General features: G+C 36.5%; 1 protein-coding gene across 3 annotated transcripts in view, besides 1 other annotated feature; it reads right to left on the bottom strand.

The window, feature by feature from the left end:
- Positions 1-25104, bottom strand: part of XIRP2 (xin actin binding repeat containing 2) — a 371274-nt gene that overhangs the window by 262631 nt on the left and 83539 nt on the right. The window lies entirely within an intron of this gene.
- Positions 8369-8972: an enhancer, noted in NCBI's record as "OCT4-NANOG-H3K27ac-H3K4me1 hESC enhancer chr2:167844661-167845264 (GRCh37/hg19 assembly coordinates)". NCBI's record gives its function as "activates a minimal SCP1, AML or CMV promoter by ChIP-STARR-seq in primed H9 embryonic stem cells {active_cell/tissue: H9 hESC(primed)}" and the evidence as "EXISTENCE:reporter gene assay evidence [ECO:0000049][PMID:30033119]".

Below are 25104 nucleotides of genomic sequence, written 5' to 3'. Positions count from 1 at the left end.
AGGTATGATCATACCAAATGTAGGTATGACCTTACATTTAGGTCCAGTAGACGTCCTCCTTCATAGTATAAGCAACACAAAGAAAACTTATTCATTTTTCTGTCATATCTAGGACTGTTCATTTTAGGTATATTTTGATTTAACTTCTCTTTATTAAGGTGTAAATGTTATCTAGCAAAGACAAATATTATTCTTTCCTTTAAGTAACTTAATCAGTCTTTTGGGAATGAGAGCAGGTTAGGTTAATTTCGAAACAGAGGTGGGATCTGGACAGAAGTGAAGATTGAGTGAGTTCCTAAATTTGAGAGGTGAGTTTATGTGTGTGTGTTGTGCACTGGAGTGGTCGTAAGAAGGGGTGCTCAACCCAGCACAGCAATGCATCATCTTGGTTCAGGCCGACTACAATTTTATTGTATTACACTAGATATATAGAATTCTGAAACATACTGAAAAAATGCCAACTAGACATTTTATTTATTATTTATTTTTATTTTTTGGGAAAAAGTCTTGCTCTGTTGCCCAGACTGTAGTGCAGTGGCATGATTTCGGCTCACTGAAACCTCTGCCTCCTGGGGTCAAGCAATTCTCCTGCTTCAGCCTCCTGAGTAGCTGAGATTACAGGCGTGCATCACCACGCCTAATTTTTGCACTTTTATTAGAGATGGGTTTTCACCATGTTGGCCAGGCTGGTCTCAAACTCCTGGTCTCAAGTGATCTGCCTGCCTCGGCCACCCAAAGTGCTGAGATTACAGGCATAAGCCACTGTGCCCAGCCCAACTAGACATTTTAGAATTTTACTTATGTTGGCAAATAACTTTGCCAACTTACAGATAAGTTTGCAAGTTTGTACTCTGGGCTTGTTTTACGTTTCACCAAATTTGAATCCTCTTTCGATTTACTAGTTCACTCACTCACTCATTCACTTCTCTGTCAAATAATTACTGTGTATCTACTATGTACCAGGAACTCTCCTAAGACTAAATATAAGAAAAGAAAAAGATTCAACCCTTGCCCTCAAGGAGCCTACAACTTGGAGTGGGATCCTGAGACATTAAGTAGTCGTTTATAAAACAGTGATTGGTACCTTGGTCATGCTATTCAAGACTCATATAAATGGAGGGGCAGAAGAAAAAGAGGAGAGGAGCTGTCAAGTAGAGTTAATTTAGGTGCTGAATCTTGAAAAGTAAAGGATGATTCAAATGAGGCTGGTGAAAGCTGAGGAAAGTAGGCCTCAGGACAGTGCAAGTATAGGCTCTGCGATAAGAAGTGGCATTTGATGACTTGGAATGAGGGCTAACACAATTCTCTTCAAGGAAACAGCCAAGGGCAAGGAATTTTCCTATAATCTCCACCTACTACAAATTTTATAACAGCTTAAAAGGTCAGTAATGCTCTACACCTGCTAAGAAATTTGTGTTTGAAAATTACTTTCACAACAAAAGTGTTATATAGCAATTGTTTTTATTGCTTCTTTTATCCCCATATTATAGGAGATGGAGAAATTTAATAGTCTATCTTTAATTTTATAGTAGACACAGAAGGGACATTTTCTCAATCTCTTTAAACTCAATTGCAATAGAACAAATATTATCAAGAACCTTGTAGATGATGTGACAAATTTTGCAGAAAAAGGTTCTTACTGCTTCTGCATCTTTAAAATTGCCTCATAACTGATCATCAGCCCTAACTGATCCTGGCCAAGAATTCTCCGTGGAACCTTCAGTAATTTAGAGAGGCAGTACTTGTGGTAAAGTACCACTTAAAGCATCACTTAGAGAAAAGAGGTCACTAACGTTTTTGCCTTAAAGATGAAATTCAGTAGGGCTCAGCCACGCAACAAAGCATATATCCAAATGCCAGATGGCTATTTCTACAATGTACATACACTAGCAATTTCTTAGAACCCAACAATAAATAGTGCTTTTGCTAAAATAAAGAGGTCAGGCCAGGCGTGGCTGCTCACACGTGTAATCCCAGCACTTTGGGAGGCCGAGGTGGGGGGATCACGAGGTCAAGAAATTGAGACCACCCTGGCCAACATGGTGAAACCTGATCTCTACTAAAAATACAAAAATTAGCTGGGCGAGGTGGTGCGCACCTGTAGTCCCAGCTTCTAGGGAGGCTGAGGCAGGATAATCACTTGAACCCGGGAGGCGGAGGTTGCAGTGAGCTGAGATGGAGACTCGGTCAAAAAAAAAAAGAAGTCAAAGCCCACATTTTTCTCATTTTTACTTTTTATTGTATAATATTTATAGGATTAAAAATGTGTAAATGTAGTACACAATTCCTGTAAACCCTTAAACTAGTTTCCCCTAATGACATCATCATTTACATAACCATAGTACAGTTACTGAAATGAGGAAATTAACACTGACATAATACTATTAACTCACCTTTAGATCTTACTCAAATTTTTAAAGTTTTTTTTTTTTTTGATAGACTGAGGAATCCAGGCTTTAATTTTTGACATTACACTGCAATTGAAGAATGGATTCAACGTAAATATCATTAACATCATTGCTGTCCTACCATATTGTAATTTGAAGACATCCAGAAGTGCTATTGAAATGCAGTATTGGAAGCCTTACCTACACATTAAATTAAGCCTTCAAATTTTTTTTTTTTTTTTTAATTTTTTTTTTTTTATTATACTCTAAGTTTTAGGGTACATGTGCACATTGTGCAGGTTAGTTACATATGTATACATGTGCCATGCTGGTGCGCTGCACCCACTAACGTGTCATCTAGCATTAGGTATATCTCCCAATGCTATCCCTCCCCCCTCCCCCGACCCCACCACAGTCCCCAGAGTGTGATATTCCCCTTCCTGTGTCCAAGTGATCTCATTGTTCAATTCCCACCTATGAGTGAGAATATGCGGTGTTTGGTTTTTTGTTCTTGCGATAGTTTACTGAGAATGATGGTTTCCAATTTCATCCATGTCCCTACAAAGGACATGAACTCATCATTTTTTATGGCTGCATAGTATTCCATTGTGTATATGTGCCACATTTTCTTAATCCAGTCTATCATTGTTGGACATTTGGGTTGGTTCCAAGTCTTTGCTATTGTGAATAGTGCCGCAATAAACATACGTGTGCATGTGTCTTTATAGCAGCATGATTTATAGTCCTTTGGGTATATACCCAGTAATGGGATGGCTGGGTCAAATGGTATTCCTAGTTCTAGATCCCTGAGGAATCGCCACACTGACTTCCACAATGGTTGAACTAGTTTACAGTCCCACCAACAGTGTAAAAGTGTTCCTATTTCTCCACATCCTCTCCAGCACCTGTTGTTTCCTGACTTTTTAATGATTGCCATTCTAACTGGTGTGAGATGATATCTCATAGTGGTTTTGATTTGCATTTCTCTGATGGCCAGTGATGATGAGCATTTCTTCATGTGTTTTTTGGCTGCATAAATGTCTTCTTTTGAGAAGTGTCTGTTCATGTCCTTCGCCCACTTTTTGATGGGGTTGTTTGTTTTTTTCTTGTAAATTTGTTTGAGTTCATTGTAGATTCTGGATATTAGCCCTTTGTCAGATGAGTAGGTTGCGAAAATTTTCTCCCATTTTGTAGGTTGCCTGTTCACTCTGATGGTAGTTTCTTTTGCTGTGCAGAAGCTCTTTAGTTTAATTAGATCCCATTTGTCAATTTTGTCTTTTGTTGCCATTGCTTTTGGTGTTTTGGACATGAAGTCCTTGCCCACGCCTATGTCCTGAATGGTAATGCCTAGGTTTTCTTCTAGGGTTTTTATGGTTTTAGGTCTAACGTTTAAATCTTTAATCCATCTTGAATTGATTTTTGTATAAGGTGTAAGGAAGGGATCCAGTTTCAGCTTTCTACATATGGCTAGCCAGTTTTCCCAGCACCATTTATTAAATAGGGAATCCTTTCCCCATTGCTTGTTTTTCTCAGGTTTGTCAAAGATCAGATAGTTGTAGATATGTGGCATTATTTCTGAGAGCTCTGTTCTGTTCCATTGATCTATATCTCTGTTTTGGTACCAGTACCATGCTGTTTTGGTTACTGTAGCCATGTAGTATAGTTTGAAGTCAGGTAGTGTGATGCCTCCAGCTTTGTTCTTTTGGCTTAGGATTGACTTGGCGATGCGGGCTCTTTTTTGGTTCCATATGAACTTTAAAGTAGTTTTTTCCAATTCTGTGAAGAAAGTCATTGGTAGCTTGATGGGGATGGCATTGAATCTGTAAATTACCTTGGGCAGTATGGCCATTTTCACGATATTGATTCTTCCTACCCATGAGCATGGAATGTTCTTCCATTTGTTTGTGTCCTCTTTTATTTCCTTGAGCAGTGGTTTGTAGTTCTCCTTGAAGAGGTCCTTCACATCCCTTGTAAGTTGGATTCCTAGGTATTTTATTCTCTTTGAAGCAATTGTGAATGGGAGTTCACTCATGATTTGGCTCTCTGTTTGTCTGTTGTTGGTGTATAAGAATGCTTGTGATTTTTGTACATTGATTTTGTATCCTGAGACTTTGCTGAAGTTGCTTATCAGCTTAAGGAGATTTTGGGCTGAGACGATGGGGTTTTCTAGATAAACAATCATGTCGTCTGCAAACAGGGACAATTTGACTTCCTCTTTTCCTAATTGAATACCCTTTATTTCCTTCTCCTGCCTGATTGCCCTGGCCAGAACTTCCAACACTATGTTGAATAGGAGCGGTGAGAGAGGGCATCCCTGTCTTGTGCCAGTTTTCAAAGGGAATGCTTCCAGTTTTTGCCCATTCAGAATGATATTGGCTGTGGGTTTGTCATAGATAGCTCTTATTATTTTGAAATACGTCCCATCAATACCTAATTTATTGAGAGTTTTTAGCATGAAGGGTTGTTGAATTTTGTCAAAGGCTTTTTCTGCATCTATTGAGATAATCATGTGGTTTTTGTCTTTGGCTCTGTTTATATGCTGGATTACATTTATTGATTTGCATATATTGAACCAGCCTTGCATCCCAGGGATGAAGCCCACTTGATCATGGTGGATAAGCTTTTTGATGTGCTGCTGGATTCGGTTTGCCAGTATTTTATTGAGGATTTTTGCATCAATGTTCATCAAGGATATTGGTCTAAAATTCTCTTTTTTGGTTGTGTCTCTGCCCGGCTTTGGTATCAGAATGATGCTGGCCTCATAAAATGAGTTAGGGAGGATTCCCTCTTTTTCTATTGATTGGAATAGTTTCAGAAGGAATGGTACCAGTTCCTCCTTGTACCTCTGGTAGAATTCGGCTGTGAATCCATCTGGTCCTGGACTCTTTTTGGTTGGTAAACTATTGATTATTGCCACAATTTCAGAGCCTGTTATTGGTCTATTCAGAGATTCAACTTCTTCCTGGTTTAGTCTTGGGAGAGTGTATGTGTCGAGGAATGTATCCATTTCTTCTAGATTTTCTAGTTTATTTGCGTAGAGGTGTTTGTAGTATTCTCTGATGGTAGTTTGTATTTCTGTGGGATCGGTGGTGATATCCCCTTTATCATTTTTTATTGTGTCTATTTGATTCTTCTCTCTTTTTTTCTTTATTAGTCTTGCTAGCGGTCTATCAATTTTGTTGATCCTTTCAAAAAACCAGCTCCTGGATTCATTGATTTTTTGAAGGGTTTTTTGTGTCTCTATTTCCTTCAGTTCTGCTCTGATTTTAGTTATTTCTTGCCTTCTGCTAGCTTTTGAATGGGTTTGCTCTTGCTTTTCTAGTTCTTTTAATTGTGATGTTAGGGTGTCAATTTTGGATCTTTCCTGCTTTCTCTTGTAGGCATTTAGTGCTATAAATTTCCCTCTACACACTGCTTTGAATGCGTCCCAGAGATTCTGGTATGTGGTGTCTTTGTTCTCATTGGTTTCAAAGAACATCTTTATTTCTGCCTTCATTTCGTTATGTACCCAGTAGTCATTCAGGAGCAGGTTGTTCAGTTTCCATGTAGTTGAGCGGCTTTGAGTGAGATTCTTAATCCTGAGTTCTAGTTTGATTGCACTGTGGTCTGAGAGATAGTTTGTTATAATTTCTGTTCTTTTACATTTGCTGAGGAGAGCTTTACTTCCAAGTATGTGGTCAATTTTGGAATAGGTGTGGTGTGGTGCTGAAAAAAATGTATATTCTGTTGATTTGGGGTGGAGAGTTCTGTAGATGTCTATTAGGTCTGCTTGGTGCAGAGCTGAGTTCAATTCCTGGGTATCCTTGTTGACTTTCTGTCTCGTTGATCTGTCTAATGTTGACAGTGGGGTGTTAAAGTCTCCCATTATTAATGTGTGGGAGTCTAAGTCTCTTTGTAGGTCACTCAGGACTTGCTTTATGAATCTGAGTGCTCCTGTATTGGGTGCATAAATATTTAGGATAGTTAGCTCCTCTTGTTGAATTGATCCCTTTACCATTATGTAATGGCCTTCTTTGTCTCTTTTGATCTTTGTTGGTTTAAAGTCTGTTTTATCAGAGACTAGGATTGCAACCCCTGCCTTTTTTTGTTTTCCATTGGCTTGGTAGATCTTCCTCCATCCTTTTATTTTGAGCCTATGTGTGTCTCTGCACGTGAGATGGGTTTCCTGAATACAGCACACTGATGGGTCTTGACTCTTTATCCAACTTGCCAGTCTGTGTCTTTTAATTGCAGAATTTAGTCCATTTATATTTAAAGTTAATATTGTTATGTGTGAATTTGATCCTGTCATTATGATGTTAGCTGGTGATTTTGCTCATTAGTTGATGCAGTTTCTTCCTAGTCTCGATGGTCTTTACATTTTGGCATGATTTTGCAGCGGCTGGTACCGGTTGTTCCTTTCCATGTTTAGGGCTTCCTTCAGGAGCTCTTTTAGGGCAGGCCTGGTGGTGACAAAATCTCTCAGCATTTGCTTGTCTATAAAGTATTTTATTTCTCCTTCACTTATGAAGCTTAGTTTGGCTGGATATGAAATTCTGGGTTGAAAATTCTTTTCTTTAAGAATGTTGAATATTGGCCCCCACTCTCTTCTGGCTTGTAGGGTTTCTGCCGAGAGATCCGCTGTTAGTCTGATGGGCTTTCCTTTGAGGGTAACCCGACCTTTCTCTCTGGCTGCCCTTAACATTTTTTCCTTCATTTCAACTTTGGTGAATCTGACAATTATGTGTCTTGGAGTTGCTCTTCTCGAGGAGTATCTTTGTGGAGTTCTCTGTATTTCCTGAATCTGAACGTTGGCCTGCCTTGCTAGATTGGGGAAGTTCTCCTGGATAATATCCTGCAGAGTGTTTTCCAACTTGGTTCCATTCTCCACATCACTTTCAGGTACACCAATCAGACGTAGATTTGGTCTTTTCACATAGTCCCATATTTCTTGGAGGCTTTGCTCATTTCTTTTTATTCTTTTTTCTCTAAACTTCCCTTCTCGCTTCATTTCATTCATTTCATCTTCCATTGCTGATACCCTTTCTTCCAGTTGATCGCATCGGCTCCTGAGGCTTCTGCATTCTTCACGTAGTTCTCGAGCCTTGGTTTTCAGCTCCATCAGCTCCTTTAAGCACTTCTCTGTATTGGTTATTCTAGTTATACATTCTTCTAAATTTGTTTCAAAGTTTTCAACTTCTTTGCCTTTGGTTTGAATGTCCTCCTGTAGCTCAGAGTAATTTGATCGTCTGAAGCCTTCTTCTCTCAGCTCGTCAAAATCATTCTCCATCCAGCTTTGTTCTGTTGCTGGTGAGGAACTGCGTTCCTTTGGAGGAGGAGAGGCGCTCTGCGTTTTAGAGTTTCCAGTTTTTCTGTTCTGTTTTTTCCCCATCTTTGTGGTTTTATCTACTTTTGGTCTTTGATGATGGTGATGTACAGATGGGTTTTCGGTGTAGATGTCCTTTCTGGTTGTTAGTTTTCCTTCTAACAGACAGGACCCTCAGCTGCAGGTCTGTTGGAATACCCTGCAGTGTGAGGTGTCAGTGTGCCCCTGCTGGGGGGTGCCTCCCAGTTAGGCTGCTCGGGGGTTAGGGGTCAGGGGTCAGGGACCCACTTGAGGAGGCAGTCTGCCCGTTCTCAGATCTCCAGCTGCGTGCTGGGAGAACCACTGCTCTCTTCAAAGCTGTCAGACAGGGACACTTAAGTCTGCAGAGGTTACTGCTGTCTTTTTGTTTGTCTGTGCCCTGCCCCCAGAGGTGGAGCCTACAGAGGCAGGCAGGCCTCCTTGAGCTGTGGTGGGCTCCACCCAGTTCGAGCTTCCCCGCTGCTTTGTTTACCTAAGCAAGCCTGGGCAATGGCGGGCGCCCCTCCCCCAGCCTCGTTGCCGCCTTGCAGTTTGATCTCAGACTGCTGTGCTAGCAATCAGCGAGATTCCGTGGGCGTAGGACCCTCTGAGCCAGGTGTGGGATATAGTCTCGTGGTGCGCCGTTTCTTAAGCCGGTCTGAAAAGCGCAATATTCGGGTGGGAGTGACCCGATTTTCCAGGTGCGTCCGTCACCCCTTTCTTTGACTCGGAAAGGGAACTCCCTGACCCCTTGCGCTTCCCAGGTGAGGCAATGCCTCGCCCTGCTTCGGCTCGCGCACGGTGCGCACACACACTGGCCTGCGCCCACTGTCTGGCACTCCCTAGTGAGATGAACCCGGTACCTCAGATGGAAATGCAGAAATCACCTGTCTTCTGCGTCGCTCACGCTGGGAGCTGTAGACCGGAGCTGTTCCTATTCGGCCATCTTGGCTCCTCCAACTAAAGTTTTCCCATTAATTTTTTTTTCTGGCCCAGGATCAAATTCAGAATTCCACATTGCACTCAGCTGTCATGCCTCCTGTGTCTCGACTAATCTGAAAGTTCCTCAGTCTTTTATCGTGTTTCAGGCCTTGATACTTCTAAAGAATACTGGCAGGCAGTTAGTAGAATGTCCCTTAGCTTGGGTTTGTCTGCGGTTTTCTTCTTAATACATTGAGTTTACAGGTATTTGGCAATAATACAACAGAGGTAATGTTAGATGCTTTCAAGTGCATTAGAGTAGGGGGTGCTTGATATCCACATGTCTTATTACTGCTCATGCAAAGTTGGGTTTTCTTCTTTGAAATTAAGGCATATCTGTGGGAAGATACTTTGAGATTATGCAAATGTCCTATTTGTCATCTATGTTAAATACATCAGTGTCTCTTTTCTGCCCCAATTGCTCTGGAGTTTGCTTCGTGGTTATTTTATATTTCCATTGTGCATTCTATAGAAATTACTTGGAATTGTACTTTATGGAAGAATGCATGCCTTCCTATTTGTTATGCATTCAATTTCTTATTCATGTTAATATCTATCATGCATGGATACTTACCTTATTCTATTGGCTACAATCTGTTACTATTGTTACTTAATTTGTTGTTTAAATTGTCCCATACTAGAACATTGAGAACTCCTTCAAGTAGACCCCTGAGTCCTTTATATATCCATGATTTTTTGAGCACTTCCAAACCATCTGGCACATTCAAATCTTTTAAGCATGTTAAACTCTGATTCCTTTAATTGAAAAATGAGTTTTAGAGAACAAGATCTGGATGCTACTCAAATGCCAATTTTTAAAATCTTTTATAGAATAAAGATTTATTATTTCTAAGTTCATTATGTTATTCATCTGGTAAGGTTTTTATTTTCTAATGCTATGAATGACTTGACAGTGAAAATATTATTATTTATAATGTTTTCATTTATATTTACCCCAAATGTCTCAACTGTTTGCAATGGAGTTTGGCAATCCAAGACTTCCATGCAGACATGTCCAATAGCCTGGATGCTGTTGTCTTGTTCTCCCTATTACAGGATAGACGATTATCCTGTTATTGCCTTCTCCAAGTCTTTTCATTAAGATCAGTCTATTTTGGGACTTTATTTCTTAGTTTACTCTATATCTAGTCCCAGCCCTTATGTAGGCAATGTCTTCATGCTGCCTTCTGACTACTCAGAACTGACAAAAGTGACTCAGGTAGTCTTCCATTCCCTTGCAGGACCCATGTTAAAATTTTTTCTTCTCCTCATCCCATCTAAAACTTCTGAATCCTCAGTATTGCTGACATGAGCTAGATGTTAAGAGGAAAGCAATGGATTTAAACATGTTTATACTAGATTAAATGTCATTAACATCTACCCTCCATTTAGATTCCCAGGTTTTATTTGATGTCTAAATGAGACAGACTATTAATTCAGTGATTTCTATGCCTGACAATAAAGTGAAATAAATTATATAAGAAAGTATTTTGGATAATATATTTCTTGGAAAAAACCCAAAATGCATAAAACTAAGCCTAGACAATTCTACTTCTTCCTCAATATGTGCAAACAAAGAAGGTCAGAATCTTAGGACAACATATTTATGCTGTGCATCCTCTGGTATAATCTCATTTATCTAAACGTTTGTTTTATGACAGCATTTCACAGCACGAAAAAGTTAAATTAATTCAATACAAAGATCCCTGATAAACATTTAACAGGATCATTTCTCATGACCAGTGTTATACATTCACATTCAGTATTTCATAAACTGCCCTTTTATTGATTAGTTGCAAAATAAGCAGTTCCCTGATATTTAAGAAATATTTGGTGACACAAACATCTCAAGAGAAAGCAGGTGCTAAAGGCAGATAATAACTGGTTTGGTGCCCTTTATACTAGGATGTGTTCTTCACTTTTGACATATACCTAACTATCATAGCTATGCGGCTAGCAACACAATGAATGTCACGCAACGTGTAAATATTCCACATTGCAAGTTTCAGTTGAAGTGACCATTGATATTTTATACAATGTTGAAGGAACTCAAAACACTTTGTAAAAATCCTCTCTCCAGTGGCTACATTACATCAGTTACATAGAGATTTTGAGATGTTAATTATGATGAGTCTCACTCTATATTGAAGAAGTTCTGAGGACACTGGGAAAATATCTTCAGAATCCTAGGGTCTATTAGAATGTTCCACTACTCTGCTATGGAAGGAATTCCAAAGCCATCCTCTAACCATTCCAGAATGTGCCACAAAAGAACCTCATCAGTTTAAATGTATGAAGTGGCGCCCTTATTTCCAAACCTCCTCTGTCAGAGGTAGAGAATACCAATGCAGCTAGGCGGTCTTGCAAAGCACGGTACTCTCTCTGGTACAACCTGGTGCAACCATTTCCTTCTGCTGTTATAGGAAATATGGGTTATAGCTTCCTAGTTCCATCAGTATGCTTCTCTCAATTTAGACCACTGCTCTGACAATTAAGAGCCTGCTCTGCCAGCCTTGGACTTGTATCTTTTCTTCCCAGATGAGGAGATCACCTGATTTTAGGAATATGATACTTCCCTCTTTGGGAGACTGACCCCTAAGAGTGTTATTATGGGTTTTTTTTTCAGAGCTGGGTGATCAGAAATTCCTAACATCACTTCACACCCAGACCAACACTAAGAATAATTGTTAGAAAATATTTTTAGGCCGGGCGCGGTGGCTCATGCCTGTAATCCCAGCACTCTGGGAGGCTGAGGTGGGCGGATCACAAGTCTGGAGATCAAGACCATCCTGGCTAATACGGTGAAACCCTGTCTCTACTAAAAATACCAAAAATTAGCTGGGCATGGTGGCAGGTGCCTGTAGTCCCAGCTACTCGGGAGGCTGAGTCAAGAGAATTGCTTGAACCCAGGAGGCGGAGGTTGCAGTGAGCGGAGATCGTACCACTGCACTCCAGCCTGGGCGACAGAGACTCTATCTCCAAAAAAAAAAAAGAAAGAAAAGATTTTTAGATTAAGATATTGTAGTAATTATGGACATAAAAAGTATTAATCCTAAATAAAACACTTTGACAATGTTAGTAAGTAAAAATCAATGGCATGTTTGAGCAGATGCACATGATTGCAAGTTATTTTAACTGTATAGATTACTTTTTATTTTCTTATCTCTCTCTCCAACCTGTCTGTTAGCTAGGGTCACTAAGCTGTACTTGCAATTGCTTTAACTGCTATTCTAATTGATTTCCATTTTTAATGATGACAAAGGGGAAAAAAAGAATTGTAGTATGTGTTTAGCATTACCCCAACCACTGTTTTTATTATGGACTAAATTTTGTGCAGGATGTTGTGGAAACAAAGAATGATGTGACATATCTGGCAATAAGAGTTCCAAAGACTACATGACACATAAGCAAATAGCTATACTCAATGAAATCAGCAGTGAATCAGAATAAGTAAGACTATATGTAAACACTTGGTTTGTGGGTAAAGGTAAGGCCACAGTAGTTGGAACTGATTTGAAAAAAGTAAAATTCAAATTGAGTCTTATAAAGCCAAAAGCTCACCAGCCTGTAAACACATGAGTGCCCTGGCATCTGCCTAATTCTCTAACCTCAATATCAGAACTCCACTTTAAGTGACAGAAGCCCAGCTCTGATATTTCATGAAACAATTTTATTCAAATTCTTTGCATTCATTTTTGATATCAGTGTTTTCATAATCATTAGAACCACATTTTGCTTCATTTAACAAGAGTTCCCTAATATATCATCCTTAGTACCTTCCGAATTCTTATAGATACAGCACTTCTAAAACATGTTTCTGATGCTCAGGTATTCATTCAAAAACCTTAAGATGATATCTTAAATAAAAATATACTTTTTCCTGCAGATATTTATTTGTGATCTTTATATTTTGTCTTATAATATTATTTTATAGTAATCTTTAAAAGACTTATTTTTAAATACCCAAAAATTAAAATTAAGAACATATCTTCAGAAAACTTTAATTCATTTTTTAACTGATTTTATCACATGACTTCTGTAAGCCTCCTAAGCCTCCAAAACTAGTACTGATTGAAGTTATTTTAGGCTACTGTGTCTTCTTCAAAGGAAACATTTTGTTTAAATAAACCAGATAATCCCACAAAATATGAGACACCTTGTAGAAAACTGAAATATGAGAGTAAAATTGCTCTTTTTGAAGACTTGGTAGAATAATTTCCCTGTCATTTAGTGACAAGAAACCAATTGATAAATTGTCCTCTTGCAGTCTTCTAGTGGAGCTGTAAGTCATATTACAGTATAATAATGAATGAATGGGAATTGTAAGAGTTGAGATGGCCATCTTGAACAAACTTTAATAAGGTTAGCTATGCAGCAAAGTGGAGAAATTGGGTGGGAGATGAGAGAAATAAGAGGTTTTAAGGGCTGTGTTTCTTTGCTTTCTTTGGTGAGAGACATGACAATATTTAAATACTGGTTGAAGGAACTAGCAAAGAAGGAGAGTTTCAAGATAACCAATAGGGACTTCCTCATTTGTTCATGTGGCATAATTAGCACCAGACTGTCATTGTGGCATACACGATTAAAAGCATGTACAAAATATATAACAATAAATCATAGTCATTCTACATTTGGCAAAACATTGAACTATTTGTAAAAAGAGAACTCATGAGATGAGTCCCATGTCTCCCCTGGCTCTTTGTCTTGGGACAATTACCAAACTTCTCCATAGAAAAGACAGAATTTAGAGTGTGATCCTTGTCAAATTTAGAAAGGTTGGTACACACTTTGGCCTTCCACAAAGCATGAAGTCAAGACTACAAAAACTCAAAGAGATCAGCCATCAATTGACTAACTGCTAGAATAAAAATGAACACTTTTCAGAAGAAGAAAACAGAATTAAGTGTCTATAGCATACCAACAAAAATGTCTAATTAGGTAGTAATCTAGATATACAAAGTAATAGTCAATAGAAACAGTCCCAGAGATGACCTGGATGTTGGATTTAAAAGGCCAAAAATCTAAAGCAACTATTAAAACTATAATTAAAATTTTAATGTGAAATAAATCTTAATAAATGACAAGAAACAAAAACTTGGGAAAGAAATATAATCTATCAAAACAATCACATGTAAATTTTTGAATGAAAAATTATAATAAATGATATAAAATTTCTCCAGGTAGAATTAAAAATTATATTGGAAATGTCAGAGAAAGGGTTAGTAAACTTAAAGATAGATCAATAGGATTATACAATACAGATGAAAAAAACTTTTTAAAAACCAACCCTCGATTATAGCCAAGTAGCTCATATTGAATCAAACTTCCCCCAGATAAAAAACATAGCTCTGGAAAAATACAAATATGAAACAATAGCAACAGCAAAAGCCACCTAACTGAAGGCACCAGAAAGTGGATCAAAATAGCCAAGACTCAAACAGCCAGCACTAGTATATTGGCATTTGGTAGACGGGGATGGTTCTGGGCATGTTTCACAATTTAACAGCATTTAGTAAGAGGGAGAGTTGTAATCTCTGTCATGCAGGGACAATAAAACTCTAATAGAAAAATCTACCATGTTGTTGGCTTCAAGAATTATAGGATAGTCAGTAGAAATGGAGATGATACAGATGTTGGAATTTGCGTGCATGGATTTTAAAGTAGTTTATGTACAGGAACAAAAAGAAAATGTGCTTTTAAATAGCAAAGGATGAGGGAATGACAAAAGAAACAGTGGAAAAGAACAAAATAGAAATTATAGAACCAAAACATTTATTATCTAAATTAGAAGTAAACTCAAGGAGGGGCTGAGAGCAAAATAGACATAAGGGAGGAAAAAGCCACTGAGCTGGAAAATAGATGATTAAGAATTTTTAAATCTGAAGAACAGAATTAAAAATTAATAAAAAAACATGATAGAGGTCTAGTCTTCCCTGGGACTATATCAAAAGTGGTAAAATACATATGTCTTCTAGAAGTTGAAAAAAAGGGACAGAAAATAATATTTGAAGAAATTGGTACCAAAAATTTAAAAATTGGAAGAAAAATCAAATTTTACAGAATCAAGAAGTTCAGTAAATATTAACCCAGACTGTTTTTTTTTTAAAAAAAAAAACTGTACCTAAACATATTACAATTTGCTGAAAACCAAAGATAAATTAAAAACCTGATGCACTTAGAAAAAATTGACAAATTGCATAAGGAAGAACAATTGAAGTTATGAATATCTCTTTATCAGAAATAATGGAGATTTAAAAAGAGTGAAAAAGAACCTTTAAAATATCGAAAGAAAAAGAAAAAGTTATCCAAAATTCTATGTTCATTGAAAATATCCTTCAAGAAAAATGTTAAAGACATTTTCAAGTAAAAGAAAACTAGGACAATGTGATGTGATGCCTAGCAGATCTACACTGAAAATGCTAAAGAAAGTTGTTAAAGCTGAGTTAAAAGAAACTATGAGTTAAACGAGTTAATGGATACTTTGAACTTTAGGAAAGAAAGAAGAGTATGAGAAAACACAAATATGTTTTCATCTTATTTAAAGTATATCTAAGTGTTTGTACTATGTTGAGTAGCATCCCTTCAAAATTGATGTTCACTCAGAATCTCAGAATGTGACCTTATTTGGAAATAGGGTCTTCGTATATGTCCTCACTTTAAGATGACTTCATACTGAACTGTGGTGACCCCTAATCCATCACGACTGATGTCCTTATAAGAAGAGGAGAAGGAACTGGGTGCGGTGGCTCATGCCTGTAAGCCCAGCACTTTGGGAGGCCGAGGCAGGCGGATTGCCTGAGCTCAGGAGTTCGCGACCAGCCTGGGCAACACGGTGAAAAAAAATTAGCCAGGCATGGCAGTGTGCACCTGTAGTCCCAGCTACTCTGGAGGCCGAGGCAGGAGAATTGCTTGAACCCGGGAGGTGGAGGTTGTAGTGAGCTGAGATCATGCCACTGTACTCCAACCTGGGAGACAGAGAAAGACTCCATCTTAAAAAAAAAAAAAGAAGAAGAGCAGAGGACACACAGATGTACAGACACATAGAGGAGACAGGCACTCAGAGGAAATACACCATGTGAAGACAGGTAGATTGAAATGATGTGTCTGTAAAACAAGGATTACTAGCAACCACTAGAAGCTAGGAAGAGAAAAAGAAGGATTCTTTTCTAAAGTCTTAGAAAGAGCATAGCCCTGATAACACCTTGATTCAGACTTGTAGCCTCCAGAACTGAGAAAAATGTCTATTGTTGTAAGACCCCCAGGTTCTGATGCTTGTTATGGAAGCCCCAATAAATTAATACACTAATTAAAGCAAATAGTTCTACACTACAAGATTTAAAATATACATAAATATAACATATACTGCAAATACAAGTGTTCAAGTTGGAGGGCAGTAAACATACTAATACTCTTGTTAAGAGTATATATTTTACATGAAATTGTATAATATTAACCATACGTGGGTTGTGAAAAAGTTAAGGATGTACTGTGAGATCACTAGAGAGAGTGCTAAACATTTGAAAAAATGCATGACCAAAAAGCCAATAAGTAAATTAAAATGTTATTCTAAAAATTTTCAATTAATCCTAAAGAAGGCAGAATAGGAAAAAGAAAAAAAAATGAGACAAATAGAAAACCAATAATCAAATGCTGGTTGTTATTCCAGTCATACCAATAACTACATTAGTATTACAAACATCAATACTATATTAGTGACTGGGCATGGTGGCTCATGCCTGTAATCCCAGAATTTTGGGAGGCTGAGGTGGGTGGATAACCTGAGGTCAGGAGCTCGAGACCAGCCTGGCCAACATGGTGAAACCCCATCTCTACTAAAAGTACAAAAAATTAGCCAGACGTGGTGGCGGGTGCCTGTAATTCCAGCTACTCGGGAGGCTGAAGCAGGAGAATTGCTTGAACTCAGGAGGCGCAGGTTGCAGTGAGCTGAGATTGTGCCATTGCACTCCAGCCTGGGCAACAAAAGTGAAACTCCATCTCCAAAACAAAAAAAAATACTATATTAGTAACTGCATTAAAATTTATAACTACAATAAATGTTAATGGATTAGATTATCCAATTAAAAGACAGAGATGGTCAGAATGGATTTAAAAAGCATGACCCAACTACTCTGTCCATAAGAAACAAGGTTTAAAATATCAACAAAACTTATTTATAAAAACTCTTAGAGTAATCAAGAAAAAAAGAAAGTTATAAGTTACCAATACTAGGTTCAAAAGTGAGCTTCTTTATTGAAAAAGAAGCTATGTATATTAAAAATATATGTGGAAATTCAATAAAAACTCTAAGGCATTTGTAGCAGAAAAAATGGCTAAATTTCTTGAAAGACACAAATTGCCAAGCTTATTGAGAAGAAATAGTTAACTTGAACAATATTATATGTATTTAAAAAATTGAATTTGTAATTAAGCACATTACTACAAGGAAAATTCCAGTCTTTCTTGAAAAAAATTTAGGATTACATAATCTCAATTCAAACCAACTCTTCCAGAGATAGAAGAGAAAGAAAAAATTCCTAATTCACTTTTTAGGCCAACATTATCCTAATAACAAACCAAGAAAAGATGCAGGAAAACCATTTGCCAATATGCTTTGAAAACATAGTTGTGAAAATGCTTACAATATTGGCAATCGAAATTAATCAATGTATAAGAAGGCAAATGCGTCATAACCAGGTATAATTTATCTTTAAAATGCAAGGTTTGCTTAAGACTAAAAAAGCTGTCAATACAATTCATCAGATTAATAACATATAGAAGATAAATTACATTATCTCAATGAATGCAGAAAAACATTTGACCAAATTTTAATACTATTCATGGTAAAAACAACCGTTGCAGAAACAAAGAATAAAAAAGAACTTTTTTAGTCTGATAAATAGTATCTCTAAAAAAAAAACCCTACTCTTAGCATCTTACTTAATGGTGATATATTGAATGCTTTCTCCTAAGATTTGGGACCAGGCAAGAATGCTTACTTTTACCAGGCCAGTAACAATTATACTTGAGGCCTTAGCTACTGAAGCAAAAAAAAAAAAAAAAAAGAAAAGAAAAGAAAAGAAAAGAAAAGGAAACACAGCCAGTTTCTAGTCAAGTGTTGATTTACTTTACCATACTAGAGTTAACCTTAATTGGGAAGACAGACACACGGTATCCTAGAGCCAATTGAAAATGCTCTCTCTCTCATTCAGGTACTCATAGAAGCTCAAAGATAATACTGATATTTGAATGTATCTTTCCCAATTAAAATAGATTATTATGAACCATGTTCCATGAAAAAAGGCATAAAGATTAACTGTACAAAATAAAAACTGACAGTAGGTGACAAAATTTGTCATGTAGAAATTCCTATGATATCAACAAAACAAGTCCTAGAGTGATACACTAATTTAGCAAGGTCATGGGATAGAAGAATAATATGGAAAAGCTTTTATTCTTTTTTTTAAAGATGATATCTCATTTATTTAGTTGCCCAGGCTGGAATGCAGTGGCATGATCTCAGATCACTGCAGTCTCAGGGATTTGCCTACTTTAGCCACCTGAGTAGCTGGGACTACAGGTGTTTGCCAACACACTTGGCTAGTTTTTAATTTTTTGTAGAGACAGGATCTCACTGTGTTGCCCAGGCTGGTCTCAAACTTCTGGGCTCAAGTGATCCTTGCCTTGGCCTCTCAAAGTGCTGGGATTACAGGCGTGAGCCACCATGTCTGGCTAGAAAAATTATTTTTTATATACAAACAGGAAATAAGTGAAAAATAAACATGATGAAGCAATTTCTTTCACAAAAATATCCCAAAAGAATAAAGCATTTGTAAATATATTCAACAAATATGTGCAAGACTTCACACAAACTGCTACCCATTGCTGAAAGTTAAAAATAAATAAATAAATAGAACGATATACTATGTTCATGGTTTGGAAGTCTCAATATTATTAAGTTGTCAATTCTCTCCAAACTAATATATTAATTTTACACAACCCTAGCCTCAGTCTCCCCAAGCTCTTCTAAAATTATAAGCTACTTCTAAAATTATATGTGAATTCTATGGAATTGTAATATTCAAACCAATCTTGAAGAAAAAGAATAAAAATGTCTGAGGCTTTATAATGCCTGATTGATTACTTATTGTAGATCTATAATAAAAATAGACAGTGGTAGTGACATGAATATTAAAAAATAGATTAGTGAAACAGAATAGAGTGCAAATAAACAAATACACACTTTCAGGTCACTTAATTTAATTTCAACAAAAGCGCCAATGCAACATGATGAGACGAAGAATATTTTTGAACAATAATATTGGAAAAACAGAAAATCTGTATAGAAAGAAATGAATTTTGACTACTTTCATGAACACATAAACACAATCACACACATGCAAACATACACACATTAATTAGACTTGAATTATAAATTTAAATGGAAAATTTATACTTGTAAATTTGTATTAAAAAGAGGAAATATCTTTATGACTTAGACATAGAGAAAGCTTTCTTATACAGAATATGTAAGTTTAAAGCTAGTAATAGTTTGAGGCTAATTTTGCCCCATTCTTGAGGCAATGCATTTCTGAGTATATTACTTGATACCCTATGAATTATGAAAATTGCTATCTTCTGTACCAGGTCCTGGTAATTTTCTGCAGGCAGTAAGCTGGAAAAACAGCAAGGTTTACTTCACTTATTCCCCTCTCCATCTTTGTGATTACTTCCCTTTGTTGCCTGAACTCTAATGCCTCAGAATCATTTTTTTATACCTTTTCCCAGTTTTTGTTGTTTGCAGTAGAAGTTTAAATCTCTTCATTGTTACTCTTTTTAGTTTAGATTCAATGGAAAAAATTACTAAAATATAAAGTGAACTGAAGGGTGGATAGAGGGTTGGAGAGATATATGATAATACAAATACAGTAAAATGTTAACAGTACAATTGATATGATGGATATTTAATGGTTCACTATAAATATCTTCCAAATTTTTTATTGATGATTTTCATTTAAAAATGTTGGGGAAAATATAAGCAGTCTCCCTATGAGATAATGTCAAGTAGTCCAAAGGATTTGTAATTGGAATAAACTAGAAAATGCTGACTGCGAGAATGGGTTAGAAAAAATATTGAAGAACTAATAATTGAAAATTTTCTAAATTTGAAAACCATTGACAAGAAACTTTATTTCAAGCTCAGCAAAGTTCAAGCAAGACAAATGCTTGCACATGCACACACTGACAGCTAAGTACATCATGGCCAAACTTTTTAAAAAAAGGATTTTGCAAAAATCTTGAAAGTAGCAAGAGGAAAAAAAAATACCAACAGAGCAAACACACATTGCTTTCAGGAAAACAATCATATGAGCAATGGTTGATTACTGGGGCAAGAGGAAAATAAAAATACATCTTTAAAATGCTGAAAAATACAATCATTCAACAAGTTGTAGCTTTCTAGAATAAACCTGAAAAATGCATCCGAAGACAAAATATTTTGAGGTAAATGAACATTGAGATAATTCATTGCCATAGACTTTCACATCAAGAATTGCTAACAATGTTACATGAGGGAAATGATAGCATATGGAAACTTAAGTCTTGGAGGAAATGGAGAGCCCCAGAAATGGTATATAGTGGGTATGTATAGATTATCCTTTTTTTGTCCTTGAGTTCCTTACAACGGAAATGGCTAGTTTTTTTGTTTTTGTTTTTTTAAGAATAACACTGTAAGACAGGGGCTGTGACATATGCAGAAGCAAAAAGTAAGACAAAGATAGCACAATGGATGGGTGTTCACATATGAAGTTATACTGTTGTAAGGCTCTTACGTTTGTGAAGTGGGAAATTGGGAGTGTCAGGTATTAAGTAGGGAATGATATAATATTAATTCCAAGTAGACTGAAATAATTTGAAGTTGCATTTTGTGACTACTCCAGTAAACATTAGAAACATTAAAAAGAACAACAGCTAAAAAGCTATTAGAAGAAAAAGTGGAATAATAGAAAACATTTATTATACTCCCCCAAAGAAGTAAAAAAGTAGCAAAGCAAGAAACAAGACAGATAGAACACATTTCAGCTGATAACACAGAATGGGAGAGTGGAAGAAATGCCACAGCTAGAGAAGTTGGTCTTAGATAAAAGAATAGACTTGCCTTCACACATAACAATAAGGGGGAGAGAGGAAACCAGATAACAAGGAGATATGAACAATGATAGCATCAGGATATTGATTTGGCTTATGTAACAGAAAAGACCTCACCATTGCAGATCTGGGCCTAGTAGGACTGGGGGTACCTGGATATTTAGATAGAAAGCTTATCTTCCAGTTCTCATATTCCACATTACTGAGGAATAATATCAAAGATTATCTATCTGGGACAGTCAAGGCTTTGTCTACAACAATAGTGAAAGGATAGTTTTTAGTATACACTAAAATGCATGGATATGGGTATTAGTGTACAATTAACCTTTTTTTTTTTTTTTTTTTTTTTTTTTTTTTGAGACGGAGTCTCGCTCTGTCACCCAGGCTGGAGTACAGTAGCACGATCTCGGCTCACTGCAAGCTCCGCCTCCAGGGTTCACGCCATTCTCTTCTCCTGCCTCAGCCTCCCGAGTAGCTGGGACTACAGGTGCCCGCCACCACGCCCGGCTAATTTTTTTGCATTTTTAGTAGAGACGGGGTTTCACCGTGTTAGCCAGGATGGTCTCGATCTCCTGACCTCGTGATCTGCCCGCCTTGGCCTCCCAAAGTGCTGGGATTACAGGCGTGAGCCACCGCGCCCGGCCACAATGAACAGTTTTAAATATTTATACCTATGTAGCCACTAATTAGAATGTAGGACATTCATATAACTCCAGAAAATCCACTGTTGACCCCTTACAATTTATCTTTGTCCCCCAAATACACCAAAAGTTCTAATTTCTTTTCTTTTCTTTTCTTTTTTGAAGGAGTCTCGCTCTATCGCCAGGCTGGAGGTCACAGAACATAGTCTATTAGATTTCAATTTTGAGATTTATTTAGATTTATATTATGACCCACTATATGGTATATCTTAGAGAATATACTATATGCACTTGAAAAAATGATTATTCCGTACTTGTTTGAAGTATTGTTCCACAAATGTCAATTAGGTTATGTTGTTCAGCAGTGTTGTTTAATCTTTTTGATTCTTGACTGATTTTTTAATCTAATTTTTCTGCCAATTTTTGAAAGAAAGCTGTTAAAATCATCAACTGTTGTAGATCTATTTATCCATTTAATTCTGTCAGTCTCTACTTCATGTATTTTAAAGTTCTTTTATTAGGTAATATGTATTTATAATTTTTGTGTCTTATTTATGTATTGACATTTTGATCAATACAAAATTTTTGATCAGGATGAAATTATACTTTTGATGTCTGGAAACATTTCTTGTCTTGAAGTCTATTTTGTCTTGTATTAGTATAGTTATACTAGCTTTCTTGTGTTCTAATATTTGCATAGTGAATCCTTTCAATGCTTTTATTTTCAATATATGTTGTTTATTTTAAAATAGGATTCATTTAGACAACTCATAGTTGGGGCTTGCTTTTTACATTTATCTATACTGACTCTCAGCCTTTAAATATTTAGTCCATTTACATATGACATTCTCATTGATATGCTTGGATTTAAGTATATTTTACTTGCAATATTTTTATATTTGTTCTATCTGTTCTTCTCTTCTCTTGTTACTCCTATACTGATTCATTTTTATATAATTAACTTTAGGTAGTATGTTTTAACTCCTTTTAACTCTACCTCCTTATCACTTTTCATCTAGAAGCATTGCTACTGTTTGCAATATTTATCATTACCATAGTCTACTTAGAGTTATTATATATCTTCAGGGAAATTTTAAGAAGCTTGGGCAGTATAATTCCATATATCAGATATATATATGTATATATGTGTATGTGTATAGATAGATGTATATATGTGTATATATATATAACTTTTAAACCCCACAATACACAATTTTAGTTTTTGCTTAGTTTATCTTTTAAAGATATACGAGGAAAAAATAGTAGTGTTCTATATTTATCCACATATTATCATTTCTAGTGCTCTTTATTCCTTTTTCTAGAGCATTGTTTCTACTCGGTGTCATTTTTCTTCATACTGAAGGATTTCCTTCATTATTTTTTGCAGTGTGGATCTGCCACAAACCCTTCCTCTGAAACTCCAAGCCAATGATATTGAAGCTCTTTGCCTCTTTCCAAACAACTCGTGCTGCAGACTGGGGAGTGACCCCAGAACAAAAGCCACAGAAACACAGATCGCAATCAGCACATGTTATTTTTTAAGTTGAAACCTATCACCCAGTGTTTGCCTACAGTTGTTTGTTCCAATGGTTCTTTATGTAGTTGTCTTTTGTAACTTATCCCAAGTTCATAAATTTTATCTGACATTGATTTGTCTACTAAGAGGCACTCTGCCATTGCTGAGACTAGACCCCTTAATGAATTTTAAAATTCATTTTATAACATTGTGCGACTTCTCTATGATAAACAAACATTAGCAATAAATATATCCAAAACTTAATGGAAAATTAATGGAATCATCTATCTATATGTAGAAATACATTTTCAAGAATATTTATTAAGAAATGAATATATGTCTTTATGCTTTGGGCTAAGGTTCTTCTTTAACGACATAAATGACTTAATGCAGTACTTGCCAAATGTTAATGAAATGTTACTAGAATGCAAATTCTAATTCAGTAGGTTAAGGTGGGGGACTGAGATTCTGAAGTGCTTTGAAGTGTCCATGTGATGCTGACATTACTGGTTGTTGAAACACACTTTGGTAAGAACCTGCAGTACAGAGAGGCATTGCATGGATTTTGGATCTGATAGTCAGATTGACCTGAGTTTGATACCCTGGTCTGTGACTCTGTAGCTGTGCAGCTTTGGGCCAATATATTAACTATGTTTGTTTCAGTGCACTCATCTGTGAAAAGGGAATAGTTACACCTACATGGAAATAACTAGTGCTACACTTACATCTAAAATGTTTGTAGGGTACTTGGAACAAAAAGCGAAGTTAAAAGATAATGACAGAAGCTCTTACTAGTTGGACAAGAAATTCTATAATGTTTTCTAGGCAATGATGTAAATGACAAAATATGTTTTTGAAATCCTGATAACAAAACATCAAATTTTCACATAAGCAGTTATTTCTGACTTAATATTTCTTCCTTAAAATCCTATATTTTTCATTAAATCCATTATCATTCTCCCTATTTTGAAAAAAATTCACTTGCCAGACTATAGAAAAACTTATGAAAAGGAGTGAATGGCTGATGAAATGCAAGTGGTATGAAATGAAGCAACGATTCAAGCCAGATTTACTCAGCTATTTAATTAATTTGCTAGAAAATGTAAGTTAAAACAAAAAAATGTGTAAAATATTTTGGAGGCATGAAATGTGCTTTCACAGTTCATATCATGTCAGACAAGTGATGATAAATTTAGAAAGCATTACTAAGATATCTGGAACACAAAATAATTGATTACAAAAATTGCCATTCTTCTTTTGCCAGACTACTTTTTGGATTTAGCCTTCCCATTTATCACTAGCTATACCTGGAATCTGAATGACAATAGAATGGAATAAAGATTAAAACAGCCCCCTGGAGACAACTATTCCTATGCATTCTACTCCCAATAAGGGTGCCAGAATTGTATGTGAAAACCTCTTCTGACTGTATAAATTCCTTATGCAGTCTGTCATCAAATAACTGCTTTACTATTTAAATAAAGTTACCAGAGCCTCCATTTTACTACTATCTGTGTTTGTTCTTAATAAAACTTTATGGCTGGAGTTTGCAGAATATGAACTGTGCTTTAGTAGCTACTAATCAGTGCCTCCCCAGGGTCCATTTTTCCTCTTCCTTCCTTACAGAATATTTTTTCTCATCAGAGCTGGGAAGGTAATCCAGCAACAGAGAGGTATAGTTCCTGTTTAGCTCAAACTAATAAATAGCTAGTAGCTGCTTTCCTTTTGACATCATCGAGCTGCTAATTATTCATACACTTATGAAGATATTCCTATCTGATATGCCATTACATACCAAAGTAAGTGTTGTGTTTGTCAGTTCTGGCTACAAAAAAACCCTGGGTGGCTAAACAACAAACATTTCTCACAGTTCTCGATGGCAGAAATCCAAGATCAAGGTGCAGGAAGGTTCAGTGTCTGTGAGGGTCACTCTTCCTGGTTTGCAGAAGGCTGCCTCCTTGCTGTATGTATTCTCACATGCAGAGAGTGAGAGGGCTCTGTTCTCTTCTTTTTCCTATAAAGGCACTAGTCCCATTATGGGGCGGGAGGTGGGGGCTCATCTAAATCTAATCACCTCCGAATGGTTCTACCTCTAAATATCCTCATTTTGGG

Source organism: Homo sapiens, chromosome 2 (assembly GCF_000001405.40).
Source record: "Homo sapiens chromosome 2, GRCh38.p14 Primary Assembly".
Classification (NCBI taxonomy): Eukaryota; Metazoa; Chordata; class Mammalia; order Primates; family Hominidae; genus Homo; species Homo sapiens.
The sequence above is the reverse complement of the archived record's forward strand: the minus strand, read 5'-3'. Positions and strand labels throughout refer to the sequence as shown.